The sequence below is a fragment of the Homo sapiens genome, chromosome 14, assembly GCF_000001405.40.
Source record: "Homo sapiens chromosome 14, GRCh38.p14 Primary Assembly".
NCBI classification, from domain to species: domain Eukaryota; kingdom Metazoa; phylum Chordata; class Mammalia; order Primates; family Hominidae; genus Homo; species Homo sapiens.
In genome coordinates this window covers 106,499,501-106,514,692 of record NC_000014.9, presented here as the reverse complement: position 1 = coordinate 106,514,692, position 15,192 = coordinate 106,499,501, and the positions used below count along the sequence as shown (strand labels likewise).

The window sequence follows — 15,192 nt, the reverse complement described above, 5'->3', positions numbered from 1 at the left end:
ATAAGGTTTCTTCCAATGATTTGAGAATAGCTTTCCTGTTTTTTTACTCAAGGAAATGAATTTTCACAAGGTCTCAGGACATCACGTTTCAGGTGCTTTAGTTAAAGAGACTCTTCTTGGGGGCAGTCAGCTTTCTTCCAACCATGAGCTCATTTCTTCAGCAAACCATTCGCTTTGTGCCTCTATTAAGAATTATGAAGCTTTTGTACTTCAATGCACTGAAAATCATGCCCCTTGAATTAAATGTTGATTGGCACTGACATGAATTGGCCACTCTTGTATATGTGTCCTATGTTATGGGCTCAACATAACAGTGGACAGAGAATCGTCCATTAGCTGCCTCTGATTGTGGCACTGACCAGATTGAGAATCCTCAGAGTCATCCATGAAAAAGAGAGTCCTTAGGTTCATGAGGTTCTTGGAGACATTCAGGTAAGTGGAGGAGAGAAACAGGATTGGGGGCTGCCAGCCATTTCAACAAGACTGGGAACAATTATCATCTACGTTTAAAGGTCTACATCATTCCAAACACCCTCCAGGTTTCTCTGAGTTCATTGTGATGATTACATTCAGCTGCTTCTCCAGTGAGTTTAAATGAGCATGTGGCAATTCAGATGAGCCTGGCTGTGGGGTTTATTATATGTAAATCTGAACTACATAAACAAAGAGGGCATGTCTGACCGTATGAGGGTGCAAAATCCTGGAGACCCCACACCCCACACTCTTGTGCTTTCTTTTCTCCAGCAACCTCCAGGTTTTTTTGTATGAGAATTGTAATAGATTATCTCATGGCTAAGTCATCAAGAGACGTAAACTCTGAGAAATACAAGCAGAAAATTCTCCAGATAGAAGATCCAGGGGAAGAACATTTCTAGCACCTTATCTATGTAGGGGAAGGCAGTCCATCTCCATTACAGACCCCTCACAGCAGCCTTCCTTTATAAGGAAAATGGGTCAAATTAGCCAATAGGGTAAGAATCCTATAATGTTCCAGCCAGAAAAGGGAAAGCATCAATTTGACTTCTGGAGACTCTGTATATAGGTCACATTCCATAGAAAGAAGAGCACTAAATTATTAAGATTCAATTGTAACTACATATGATACTTCCGGGATGCACAAATTAAAGATGAAAGTGTGACAATGCACAGGCTCTGTCAGAGAAGGAGAACGTAGGGAAACTGAAAGAGAATGGCAGAGAGTAAGACAAGGACAGAAGAGCAATATGAAGCCTCTGACATCAACTCTGTAAGGACAAGGTCTTGGCAACTCCCGCATTGACCACAGATTCTGTTACCATGGGCCATTTGCAGGGTTCCTAGCTAAGGAAAAAGAAAAAAAAAAAAACTGCATGCACTTCCCAAGTCTCCACTTGTATCCTGTTTTTCTTAGATCTCTAGGACAAAAAAAATGGCATAAACCTAGACCTAGTGTCAGTGTAGGAGGTACTTTCTTTATAGGCAAGACACTAGGAAGAAGGGAAAATGTGTGTTATTGGACTAGGAGATACAGAGATGGCTTTAATCTGAATAGATCTACACCCGCAGGTATTCTCGAATGCAACATTCAACTACAAGAGCCTAATGAAGAAACACGACCCTCCCCAAACCCCTGCAAGCTCTTGTATTCACTGTGTCTCCACTGATTTAGTGCACCTGGAGCTTCAGAGCACTGGCTCCCTCCTGTGTCCTAGAATCTTTTCTTTGGGTCTTTCTGCAGAATTCAATAGGATTAGTTAGGCTAATCAATTGTTTCAAGAGATGGTGTTGGCAGCATATATTGTCGCTGGAAGAGTATTCTAAGCCAGGACACAGGCACTTTATGCCGGACTAAAGACTCTGGAGAAAATGTTTTGTGAGCCCTGACAGAAACCTCCTTGAAAGGTAAGGGCTGGGCAGGAGGGGCACTCAGGAGCCACGCAGCACACGGTCCAGCCCTAGAACAGGAGGCTGGGGAGGAGGTTTCCTCTCAGGGCCTCGGTTTTCCTTCGTCAGAAAAAAAAAAATCTAAAATAACCGTTCAACAAGTTGCTGATATGCCTTCAAATATCCTGCTACAATGGAACAATTCATATAACTTCAGGCAATGAGAACTATTTTTTAAATCGGGCTTCTAGGATTATAAGTATCTTAATAGTGAAAATGTGAAGAATAGGTATGATTTTACTATTTCAATGGATACAGAATTGTGGGAGTCACTATATTCCTATGAACAAAAAATTCAGATTTCAGTGTTAAGTAATGTTGCCTACATTGTGTGAGTGACGGGGCAGTGGTGGATCTGAGAGTGTGGTGGGTGCACGGACATAATGATTCAGAAAGCAATATGGAAAGATGAGTATCTATGGATACGAACTGAAAGTATGTAAATACTTCACAAAATACTAATAAACGGAGTTGAATATAAAACCCATAATTATCCAAAACACAAATTTCTTGGAAGTTATTTTGGGAACATGATTTCATAAAGAACTCCAAACTCTTGTTTCAACTTCTGACTCCTCGTTTCTGTGATATAAGAAAACCATTTCCAATTATGCATCTCAGGGCAATTCTGTAAACCCAGAGCATTTCTGCTGAAGATCCTGGGGAATCAAGACACCGGGCAGGTGATGGAGACACTGTCTCAGGTGCGCCCAACGAATCTCAGAGGAACCTGCTGGAGAGTCACGTGGAACATCTACAGTCAGTTTCTCAGAGTCAACAGTGAGCTGTGTTGGTGCCTGAGGGGACCATGATGGGGCCAAGGCACGTGCTCAGTGTCGTGGACAGTGATGGTCCAGAAATGATCTAGATGGTCTTGACGCTAATGAAATATGGGTTCAGAGTGAGGAGCATAATCTGTGGGGACTTGTTCTTCAGTGAAAGGATCCTGTCCGCAAACAGAAATGGAGCAGGACATGCATTTCTTCAAGCAGGATTAGGGCTTGGACCATCAGCATCCCACTCCTGTGTGGCAGATGGGACATCTATCTTCTTTCTCAACCTCGATCAGGCTTTGAGGTATGAAATAATCTGTCTCATGAATATGCAAATAACCTTAGATCTACTGAGGTAAATATGGATACATCTGGGCCCTGAAAGCATCATCCAACAACCACATCCCTTCTCTACAGAAGCCTCTGAGAGGAAAGTTCTTCACCATGGACTGGACCTGGAGGGTCTTCTGCTTGCTGGCTGTAGCTCCAGGTAAAGGGCCAACTGGTTCCAGGGCTGAGGAAGGGATTTTTTCCAGTTTAGAGGACTGTCATTCTCTACTGTGTCCTCTCCGCAGGTGCTCACTCCCAGGTGCAGCTGGTGCAGTCTGGGGCTGAGGTGAAGAAGCCTGGGGCCTCAGTGAAGGTTTCCTGCAAGGCATCTGGATACACCTTCACCAGCTACTATATGCACTGGGTGCGACAGGCCCCTGGACAAGGGCTTGAGTGGATGGGAATAATCAACCCTAGTGGTGGTAGCACAAGCTACGCACAGAAGTTCCAGGGCAGAGTCACCATGACCAGGGACACGTCCACGAGCACAGTCTACATGGAGCTGAGCAGCCTGAGATCTGAGGACACGGCCGTGTATTACTGTGCGAGAGACACAGTGTGAGAAACCACATCCTCAGAGTGTCAGAAACCCTGAGGGAGGAGTCAGCTGTGCTGAGCTGAGAAAATGACAGGGGTTATTCAGTTTAAGACTGTTTAGAAAACGGGTTATATATTTGAGAACAAAGAACAATAGAAACACAATCGAATTGTAAGAGAAATATTCCATTCAAGAGCCACCACATAAGCCAAACTGACAGAGTGGGAAAGGCCACACTCAGTAAAGTTGATACAAACATACCATAAAGGTGCTACTATGAACAAGTTTTTGAATTAGATGAATAAATCATTTGGAGCAAGGTTATTTGGTCATATGTTAAGAGTAAGCATGATTCTTACAAAGTGGGAAAATTGTCTTTCAAATGTTTCTGTCACTTCTTACCATAAAGTTCATTTTAGAGGTTTTAGGATTACAGTGAAATTGCACAGAAGGTGTGAGAATTCCCATGAATCCCTGCCCCGCACGGACACCGCCTCCTCCACTACAGCCATCCTGCCCCACAGTCACAAATAAGTCACAATGGATGAATCTACAAGAACTCTTGGTTCTTTCTTTTTCTGGTGATCCCCTAATATAACAAGCCTAAATTATCTTGGAACACCCAGGTATTTTCAATGGCTTTCTAGAAGTGATATTAGTCAGAGGGAAAGTGAGTGAGGCTATTACTATTTGAGCACTTTCTTCCAAAATCCACAAAATATATGTTAATTTGGAGTTTTTCTTACTTCTGGTTTACAATGTCCCTTCCCAGAGAGTAAGATTTTTAAGCTTTTAGTGAGGCTGGAAAAAAAAATTTTTAAAAAAGAGAAATAAGCTTTCCTGTATTAGGCTGACTTATCCCAGCGGCAGCAACAAGCACAGCCCAGACCCAGGAAAAGTCTTAATAATATTATCTAATGTGCTCTGGAGACTCTTTCAGCACTCCCTCAACATAGGGAGAAGAAAAACAAATTTTCCTTTGTCTTATGATATGAGTTTATAGATTCTTGTTCTCTGTAACTAGTAACTTCAAGTATTCTGTTTTATCTAAGAAGCACAACGAAGGTCATGAGAAGCCTGAGCAGGCCAGAACTACAGCTGTCTAGGTACCGGAGTGAGTGTTATGAGATCAACCAGTGCAAGGCTCTTTAGAACAAAACCTAGATAACAGACATCTGGGTTGCATAGCAATGGTCATGTGTAATCCTGAGTTATGAACCTGTTACAATTTGATTAACTGTCTCTGTCCTGCCTCCGTATCCCTGCTTTTGTGCACTCTAAGCTTGCTTCAAGCTAGCCCACCCCATTTTGGGAAGTGTGTATAAAAGTCAAGCGCTCTCTTTGTTCTGTGCCCAGTCTTTGGTCATTGAGTCTGCTGGGTCTGGGTGTACTCAGTAATAAAAATATCCTCCTGTATACACCCCAAGATCTCTCTCTGGTCCTCCAGATTCTGCAACATTTCAGGCAGATTCACATCTCTAAAAGGCCAGCAAGTTCTGGTCAATCCCATAATGAAAATCCTTTAATGAGACTTGGCAAACGTGACAATAAGAGACTCCTTGTATAATGCCCTAGAGTTGGATTAGACACACTGTGAGCTCTTGGGTGGTGGTTCTGAATAAGGCAGTTTGTGCAGCAAATGCAAACACATGCATGGGATCCAGGCAGGAACAAAAGCTTCCCTTTACAAAGTGGGTGGGCATCTGGAGGGAGCCCTCAGAGGTGGGCAGTGGTCGTCCTTGCTGACTGCACATTAGCCAGAGGCGTGACCATAATTGGTCTTGCAGGGAAAGAGCACCACTGAGGTCATAGGTTATGAAAATGTTTGTCATCCTCCAGTGAGCAAGTCCATCTGCTTGCTTGTGGGTGTCAACTCCATGGTGGATACACTCTGGGAGATGACAAGATGCACACAAACCTCCTCTCACTAATTATCCACTACCACACACTCAAGACCAACCTTTGCTCCAGAAAGGAATACGTGTCTGTGGAAATAGACAGAGCTTAAGTATTTTGTAACCTGGTGAACATACTGTGCAAAACCAAACGTTTCAGGAAGATTAGCTCAGAAATGTTTATCAAGTGACTGAAGGGCAGTGGCGGGTGAGGTGATGGGACAGCCTCAGGGCTGCACATGAGGAGGGCTCCCTCTCCCATGCAGGCTTTTCCTCCAGGAGCTGCACCAGGAACTCAAGGAAGATCAGGGAGAATTCTGAGAACACCCTGCTGTGGAGCTGCCTAGAGAAGAAGAATAAATGATGAAAAATACAACTCTGAGTAATGCATGGGTTTTTGTTCATGAAAACTCTCTCTCTGAAAGCTTGTGAAGGTCTTGAAATACCCCTGATTAGCTGAAGACAAACATTTAAACCCTCCTTCCACAGGGAGTTCAAGCAGGCTGGATGTGTCCTTCTATGGATGATCTTCCTCAGCCCCTTCCTCTTCCCAGCTCATCACTGGCTCTCTGTGTAAAAAGTTCTCATCAGCGGAATGTGGTTGATGAAGTGAGGTCTTCAATTTTCTCATCTTCTATGTGGTCATGTTATTTTCCTCATCTGAAGTTTAAAAACTCACCTGCATGCAGCACATGACAGGCTAAAATCTCTTGTGGACAAAACAGTAACAAAGGCACCCACCATGGTTGAGCATCCCGTGTTGCTGACAACGACCACCAGGGGTCAACGTCCTCTTCACAATCCTGTGTGAGAGCAGCACTTGAGTGATTTCAATAACAACTTCCCAGGAGAATCAGCTGAAAACTACTTGTCCCATTTTCCATACAGATATAACCCCTCTATTTTCCTGAAGAAATAGAAAGAGCTGAATGCTGAATACACTGAATGTCTGCTGGTTTTGCAAGTTTGTGACTATATCACTTTCTAATTTCTGACCTGTGCAGACCACTGTACAGACTTTTCTCACTGGTGGGACCAGCCTTCCAGATGTCAAATATAACTGAGCTTCTTCATATAAAAGTCAACACAAGCTCCTCATGGTTTCAGTGCTCACTGAATGGAGTTGGAAATAAAACCCACAATTATCCATAACACAAATTCCTTGGAAGTTATTTTGGGATAATGAGTTCATAACCTGTAGACCAAGAGTCCAAGAGTGTTTCTATTGAAGAGCCTGGGGGATCAAGACACCAGGCAGGTGATGCAGACACTGTCTAAAGAGTGCCCAGCGGCTCTCAGAGGGACCTACTGGATACTCACGTGGGACATCAGCAATCACTTTCTCAGAGTCACCAGTGAGCTGTGCTGGTTCCTGAAGGGTCCAGGATAGGGCCAAGGCACCTGCTCTGTGTCGTGGAGAGTGATTGTTCCAGAAATCATAGAGGTGGTCTCTATGCTTATAAAATCTATGTTCACAGTGAGAAGTCTGTTCTGAGAGGGCTTATTCTTCAGTGAAAGGACCTCTGCCCACAAATGTTCATAAATGGAGCAGGGCATTCATTTCCTCAAGCAGGATCAGGGCTTGAGTCATCAGCATCTCACTCTTGCAAGGCTGATGTGTCGTTTGTCTTCCCTTTCTTATCATCGACCAGGCTTTGAGCTATGAAATGCCCTGTCTCATCAATATGCAAATAACCTGAGATCGACTGAGGTAAATATGGATATGTCTGTGCCCTGAGAGCATCACCCAACAACCACATCCCTCCTCTAGAGAATCCCCTGAAAGCACAGCTCCTCACCATGGACTGGACCTGGAGAATCCTCTTCTTGGTGGCAGCAGTCACAGGTAAGGGGCTCCCAAGTCCCAGTGATGAGGAGGGGATTGAGTCCAGTCAAGGTGGCTTTTATCCACTCCTGTGTCCCCTCCACAGATGCCTACTCCCAGATGCAGCTGGTGCAGTCTGGGGCTGAGGTGAAGAAGACTGGGTCCTCAGTGAAGGTTTCCTGCAAGGCTTCCGGATACACCTTCACCTACCGCTACCTGCACTGGGTGCGACAGGCCCCCGGACAAGCGCTTGAGTGGATGGGATGGATCACACCTTTCAATGGTAACACCAACTACGCACAGAAATTCCAGGACAGAGTCACCATTACCAGGGACAGGTCTATGAGCACAGCCTACATGGAGCTGAGCAGCCTGAGATCTGAGGACACAGCCATGTATTACTGTGCAAGATACACAGTGTGAAAACCCACATCCTGAGACCGTCAGAAACCCCAAGGAGGAGGCAGCTTCACTGAATGAGGAGGTTACAGGGCTTACGATGTTTAAAGTTGTTCAGAAAATAGGCTAAGCAATTGAGGAATATGAGTAATAGAAATATGTATGCACTCTATACAGGAAATATTTCTAATAATTGTCACCCTATATGCAAAATTCGCAGAGAGGTAAAAGCAGAAATCAGTCAAGCTGATGCAAAGTTCCCCACGTAGGCTTTGTGCAGATGTAAGTTCTAAAATCAGATAGATAAATAATTTGGAGCAAGATTGCTTGATAACATGGCTAATGCTGAATATGATTCCTAAAAACTGGCCAAAATATATTCCAATTTGTCTCTGCCACCTCTCTTACATAAAATGTATTAAAAAGTAGTTTTAAGACCACAGCAAAATTGAACAGAAGGTGCAGAGATTTCCTATGTGCCCCTGCTTCACACATGCACAGCCTTCCCCACTGTCACCATCCTGCCCCAGAGTCATCAATAAGTTACAATGGATGAACTTACATGGATGGATTGGTTCTTTCCTCTTCCGGCGGTCCCTTGGCATACCAAGTCTAAACTATCTTGAAGCACAACAGGTTCTTCGAGTGGGTTCCTGGGAATGAAGCCAGTTAGAGGAAAAGTGGGTGGGGCTATTCCTATTAGGAGTCTTTTTTAGAAGACTCATAAAATGTATATGTTCCTATAGATTCTGTGACTCCTGACTTAGTATCCCTTCCCAGACGGTAAGCTTCCTAAATGTTTAGAGGCAGATCCATATCTATGGAAAGAAAGCAAGTTCTAGTGAATCCCATAAGGAATGTCCTTTAATGAGAAGTGGAGACCTTGGTCATGAGGCACATCATGTATGATTTTCTATAATTCCTTTAGATTCACTGTAAGCTTTTGAGGGTGTTTCTGGATGAGGCCCTTTGTACAGAAAATGAAAACTCAGGCATGAGTTCCAGGCACAACCAACCAACTTCCTTCCAAAGTGGGAGGGAATAGAAGAAACCCTCTCCTGTGTGGGCGCTGGTCCCCCTCCATTGCTGGCTGCACATTAGCCAGAGGCATGAGCCCAATTAGTCTTGGAGGGTGACAGCCCCACTGGGGTTGCTGGCTATAGAAATGCCTGTCCTCTTCCAGCTGAGTGAGTCAACCTGCTCGCTTGTTGGAGTCAACTGCATGGCAGGTGCACTCTGGAAGATGACAAGATGCACACAAACCTTCTGTAAAGTATCAATTACTACACACTCAAAACCAAACTGTATTCCAGAGACAGGTGTCTGCAGGGATAAACAGAATTTAAGCATTTTTTGAATAGGGAAGACACTGCCAAATGCCATATGTTTCAGGAAGTTTAACTCAGAAATGTTGATGACATAACTCAGAAACGTGAGGTGACATGACAGCCTCAGGGGCTGCACATGAGGAGGGCTCACTTCCCCATGCAGGCTTTTCTTCCAGGAACTCTACCAAGAACTCACAGAAGATGAGGGAGATTCTGAAAACATCATTCTGTGGTGCTGCCCAGGGAGGAAAAATAAGATATGGGAAAAAAAAACTATATAAATTATTAGATTTGTTAATACAAACTATTTCTGAAGCCTTGTGGAGGTCCTGACATAAGCCATCATTAGCTGTGAACAAATATCTACACCCTCCTTTCCTGGGGAGTTCAGTTAGGTTGCGTCTCTTCTTTTATGGACAGTATCCCCCAACCCCTTTATTTCCTGCACACCTGCTGCTCTCCATGGGACGAGTTCTCATCAGTGAAATGTGGTTGATGTAGTGAGGTCTTCACTTTTCTCATTGTATTAGTCAGGATTATCTAGAGGGAGAACTAACAGGATAGAGGTCTGTATTTGACGGGGAGTTTTTAAGGAGGACTGACTCACACGATCACAAGATGAAGTCTCGTGATAGGCCGTCTGCAAGCTGAGGAGCAAGGAAGCCAGTCCAAGTCCCAAAACCTCGAAAGTCAGGAAGACGACGGTGCAGCCTTCGGTCTGTCGCCAAAGGCCAGAGAGCCCCTGGCAAACCACTGGCTTAAGTCCAAGAGTGAAAAAGCTGAAGAACTTGGAGTCTGATGTTCGAGGGCAGGAAGCATCCAGCATGGGAGAAAGATGGAGGCTGGAAGACTCAGCAAGTCTAGTCTTTCCAATTTCTCCTACCTGCTTCATTCTAGCCATGCTGGCAGCTCATTAGATGGTGCCCAGGGAGGTTGAGGTTGGGTCTGCCTCACCCAGTCTACTGACTCAAATGTTAATCTTCTTTGGCAATACCCTCACAGACACACTCAGGAACAATTCTTTGCATCTTTCAGTGCAATCAAGCTGACACTCAGTATTAAACATCACACTCATCTTCTGTGTTGTCATGTTCCTCTCTTCATCTGAGGTTAAGGAACTCACCAGCATGTAGCACATCGTAGCTTAATGTCTCTCATGGACAAAATAGTGGCAAAGGCACCCACTAGGGTTAAGCATCCTGTGTCGCCGACAGCCACCACCACAGGACCAAGTCTCTCTACCATCCTGTGTCAGGGCATCGCCTCAGTGATTGTATTGGCAACTTCCCTCGAGAGTCATCTTAAAAACGGCTTGTCTCATTTCCCACGAAGGTATAGCCCATCCATTTTCTCTTCCTAGCAAAATGGAAAAGGATGAATACACGGAATGTCTCCTGGTCTTGCAACTTTGTGACTTTATTCCTTTCTAATTTCTGATCAATGCAGCCCACTGTACAATTTTTTTTTTCACTGAAATGACCCACATTCTGGATGTTAAATATAATTGAACTTCCTCATTTATAATTCAGCACAAGTACCTCAGAGTTTCTGTCCTCATGCACCACTCTAAACTTACACAAGTTGTTTATTTATTTGTTTTATTTTCTGGCATCTCTACTTGGCGTCTTCATCATACCCATTTTATGTTATTTCTACAAATGATTGTTAAAATTTATAGGTACTTAATTAAATATTCAGGAAACAAGAGAATAAAATGAATGTAAAATAAAATAAAAGTAAATAAATTAATATTTAAAATAAAGAAGCCAGCAGCTGAAAGCAAGGAAAATCTATTATGCTGGGTCAGAGAGTATGGAGAACTCATAGTACAATATCTTCTGCACGTTAATCATTACTTCTACTCAAGTTACAGGGTCCTCTCTCTTTATATCAGAGCTTTCCCTAACATGTGCAATGAAGACTGAACACAGATTCCTCCCTCAAGACTGACCTAGCATCTCTCACTGAGCCTGAGCTGACAAGTCATAGATATCACATTTGTCTAAGAAAATAATGACACCCTGTAAAGTTACCTACCAGCGATATGGAGACAATTTGAATAATATAAATAAAGCCTAAACTTGATAGGTAGTCATTTATCCTTAGAAGGATTGACTGCTGTCTCTACATGTGTTTTTTATCACAGAGAAGCTACTAGTGCCACAGTCCAAGTTGCTGAATATTTTATTTCCTAGCATGAGTTACTACAGAATGTGTTCAACATGAAAGAATGCAGCTGTTGTTAAGGGAGAGGAGATGTGATTATGGAACACGAGCAGGGATCCAGCAGACATTCCTCTTCCACGTTTGCCCCAAAACAGAGACACCAGTAAAACGATGAAATGATTGACTTTAGTCTCCACAGTCTAATGTGAGATTTATACCAGATGTTTTCTGCCACTGTTTTATAGTAGAAAATATAATCTCTAAAGAAATTCCATTTTTAGAGACAATACCATCCTCCAGGAAGCTGCAAATGCCCATAACAGAGAGTATTATAGTGCCTTGTGGCCAGGAGCTACAACACCTGGGTTTGGAAACTAATGGACAGAAATATCAGGTTTTCTTGCCAAATCTATGATGAAAATTTGGAGAATGTTTCTTTCCATCTCCATAACAATATGTTGTGATGGAGTGGAGGTCCTGGTACATAAGAAGGTATGTGTTCACAGTGGGTACAGAATTAGACCCATAAAATGATTGTTCTACTGGGGTTCCCTTGTTGTTGGACCAGCTGACCAAGAAAGTGTTGTAAGAGGTGTAGTATTTAGTGAATACTGTCATATTTTTGAAGGTACCATATTTGAAGCTACCAGGAGAAACAGAGATACATCAATCTAGCCTAGGGAGACTCTATGAATTTATTTTATTTCCTTCAAAATGAGGTAAAAAATTGCATCAGTTGAAATGCCGATGATAATCAAGTGATGAAAGACAACATCCACTCAGTGTTTTAGGTGTGGTTTAACCCAAAAGTTATACAATATGTGAGAACCTGAACTCTGGAGCCCTGGCCATCTCTCAGAAGAATCTAGAAGGTAGACTGAGCCTCTACCACAGTGTGATGTCCATGGAGACTGGGGATGGCTACTGTCTCAATCTTGGGATCACGGAATAGTCTTAATATGATTCTGTGTGTATGTGGATCATTGTGTGTAAGTGGGAGGATTCCTATAACTGTGTCTGTGTGTTTGTGAGTGTCTATGTTTCTGTGTGTGAGCTTGTGTGTCTTTGTTTTATTTTAAAATGAGTAATTTAGTTTCTGATCATTAGACTGTGTCTTTGAGGGAGTGTGTGGGAGAATGTGCATGCCTGTGTCTGTGAGTTAGTTTGTAAAAGGGTATGTTATATTGAATGTGTGTGTCTGGGTCCTTCAGTATTTGAGCCTATTAATTTACATGAACATGAATTTTTTGAAGGTGTGTAAGTATAAAACTTTTGTAAATGTAATTGTTTGAATGCTAGTGTGTGCAGAGCTATTTGAGTGTGAATGTGTTACTTGTATTACTTAGTGAGTGTGTGCCCCTATGTGAGTTTGTTTGGGTGAGTCATTACCTATGACTCTACATATGAAGGTGTTGAGGGTGTGTGTGAGTCTGTGAGCATGTTTTCATTACCTATGACTCTACATATGAAGGTGTTGAGGGTGTGTGTGAGTCTGTGAGCATGTTTATGTGCATGTGAAATGTTGTTATGTATGCTTTGAAAGACTTGTCTCTTGACCTCAATATCATTTGTCTGAAAATACCAGGTATGTTTAAGCCCTTAGAATCTAAGGAATAGTTTGTTGTTTAGGATAAATCCTCAATAAGATTAACAACTGATTTCTCACCAAAAATCAGGAAGGCCAAAGCTCACTGGAGTGGCATATCAAAAGTGCTAAAATACACTATCAATCAAAAATTCCATACTAGCAAGAACACCTTCAAAAGTGAAGGAGAAATCAAGATAATAGAAATAAACAAAAGCTATGGAGTCCATCAAAACCACAAATTCCTAATGAGAAATACTAAATAGAGTCCTGCAGGCTGAAATGAAAACAGAGTGGAGAATATTTAAAAATCTTACACCTAAAAGAACAACAACAACAAGTATCCCAGTAATCACATTTGTGTAATGAAAACCAATATTGTTTTATTTTTGCCTTGAGTCTCATGTTCTATTCCTTTTTTAAAAAAAAAATAGATATAATAGTAATGACAAATTTGAATAATGTGCCTATAATTTATGGTTATAAAATTCATTATAAATTTGAATAATGTGCATATAATTTATAATGTATGAATATGTAACAACACAATAAGTGAAAATGGATACAGCTGTAGAGAAGCAGAGTTGTATGCACTATTGAACTAAGGCAATCATAATTTAAACTACTCTGTTATAAATCTGAATTACCAATTGTAATATCCAGGTTAGCTATAAAAACTTAAGTAAAAGTAAAAAAAAAAAAAAATTAGCAGGACAGCTGACTAAACGTGCCTGACACTCTTCAACCCCACATGAAATAACCACAGAAATGAATAAACAGCTGAGACTAGAGAAATTCAACAGAGTTAGATATCATACAAAATAATAAAGCAAAAAGCTTACAGCTGAAGAATTTAATGAATAAAATAAAAATGCAGTTTACAGATTCAATAACAGAAAATAACGAGCAAAAATAAGAATTTCTGAGCTTGAAGACAAGTCTTTCAAAATAATTCCAGCAGACCAAAAAGAAAAAAAAAGAGAATGAAAGAGAGAAGGAAGGAAGGAAGGAAGGAAGGAAGGAAGGAAGGAAGGAAGGAAGGAAGGAAGGAAGATAAAATTTTAAAAACATAGAAACCCTATAGTTTTCAAAACACAATTTGAAAACAAGTTTTTGAGTTATGGAAAATCCAGGGGAAAATTCCAGAGGGAAAAAAATGAAAATGATGTAGGAAACATATTTAATAAAACAAGAGCAGAAAACGTCCCATATCATGGGAGATAGATGGTTATTCAGATCCAGGAAACTCAAATATTCCAAACAGACTGAAACTAAACAGATCCTCTCTGAAGAATGCTTTCCTCAAATTATCAAAAGACAAAGATAGAGCATGATAGAGTAGGATAGTATATTCAAAATATTGAAATAAAAAAGTATCCAGCCAATAATATAATACCTAGAAACATTATTATTCACAAACTAACAAATATATAATGTTTATCGGACTAACATGAACAGGAAATCCATCACCTCCAGGCTGGCCTTACAAGAAATGCTCAAGATTCTTACATCTGGAAGAGAAAACATAATAGCCACAATTATGAAAAATTTTTAAAAAACCATAAAACCCACTAGTAAAGCCAATACACAAAAAAGAAAATAAATGAATCAAATCTTATCACTACAAAAATTACAAAACTACAAAAATAACCAATAGGTTAAGAATAAGAAACAAGAGATACACAAAACAATGAGAAAAGAATCAATGAAAGTGAAAGAAGTAAGACCTCTTCTATCTATTATTAGCTTGAAAGTAAGTGGATTAAATTTTACATTTAAAATACATAGACTGAGTTGAAGAGAAAAGAAAAGAAAAAAAGAAACAAACAAACAAAAGTGCCAACTATAGGCTGCTATGTTAAGCCCATTTTGCATTGTTATAAAGAAGTACCTGAGTCTGTACAATTTACTTTAAAAACAAAAACAGTCTACAAATTCAATGCAATTCCCATCAAAATATCACCATCATTCTTCACAGAACTAGAATTCATATGGAACCAAAAAAGACTTGGATAGCCAAAGCAAGACTAAGCAAAAAGAACAAATCCGGAGGCATCACATTACCTGAATTCAAACTATACTATAGGGCCACAGTCACCAAAACAGCATGGTACTGGTATAAAAATAAGCACATAGATCAGTGGAAAAGAATAGAGAACCCAGAAATAATGCCAAATATTATATCAATGAATCTTTAACAATGCAAACAAAAACATAAGGTGGGGTATGGAGACCATATTCAACAAATGGTGCTGGGATAATTGGCAAGCCATATGTAGAAGAACTATATCCTCATCTCTCACCTTATACAAAAATCAACTCGAGATGGATTAAGGACTTAAATCTGAGAGATGAAAACATAAAAATTCTAGAAGATAACATCTGAAAAACTCTTCTCAATATTGGCTTAAGCAAAGTCTTCATAACCAA

General features: G+C 41.1%; 2 gene segments (V, D, J or C) and 1 further gene; all 3 read left to right on the top strand.

Annotated features, from left to right (window-relative positions):
• The window catches only part of IGH (immunoglobulin heavy locus), a 1,293,408-nt gene that overhangs the window by 365,152 nt on the left and 913,064 nt on the right, over window positions 1-15,192 (top strand).
• IGHV1-46 (immunoglobulin heavy variable 1-46) lies at window positions 3,141-3,578 on the top strand. The segment is given in 2 exon segments: window positions 3,141-3,186; window positions 3,272-3,578. Coding segments are annotated over 2 exon segments (353 nt in total), but the record flags the coding sequence as incomplete, so codon positions are not given.
• Window positions 7,260-7,697, top strand: IGHV1-45 (immunoglobulin heavy variable 1-45). The segment is given in 2 exon segments: window positions 7,260-7,305; window positions 7,391-7,697. Coding segments are annotated over 2 exon segments (353 nt in total), but the record flags the coding sequence as incomplete, so codon positions are not given.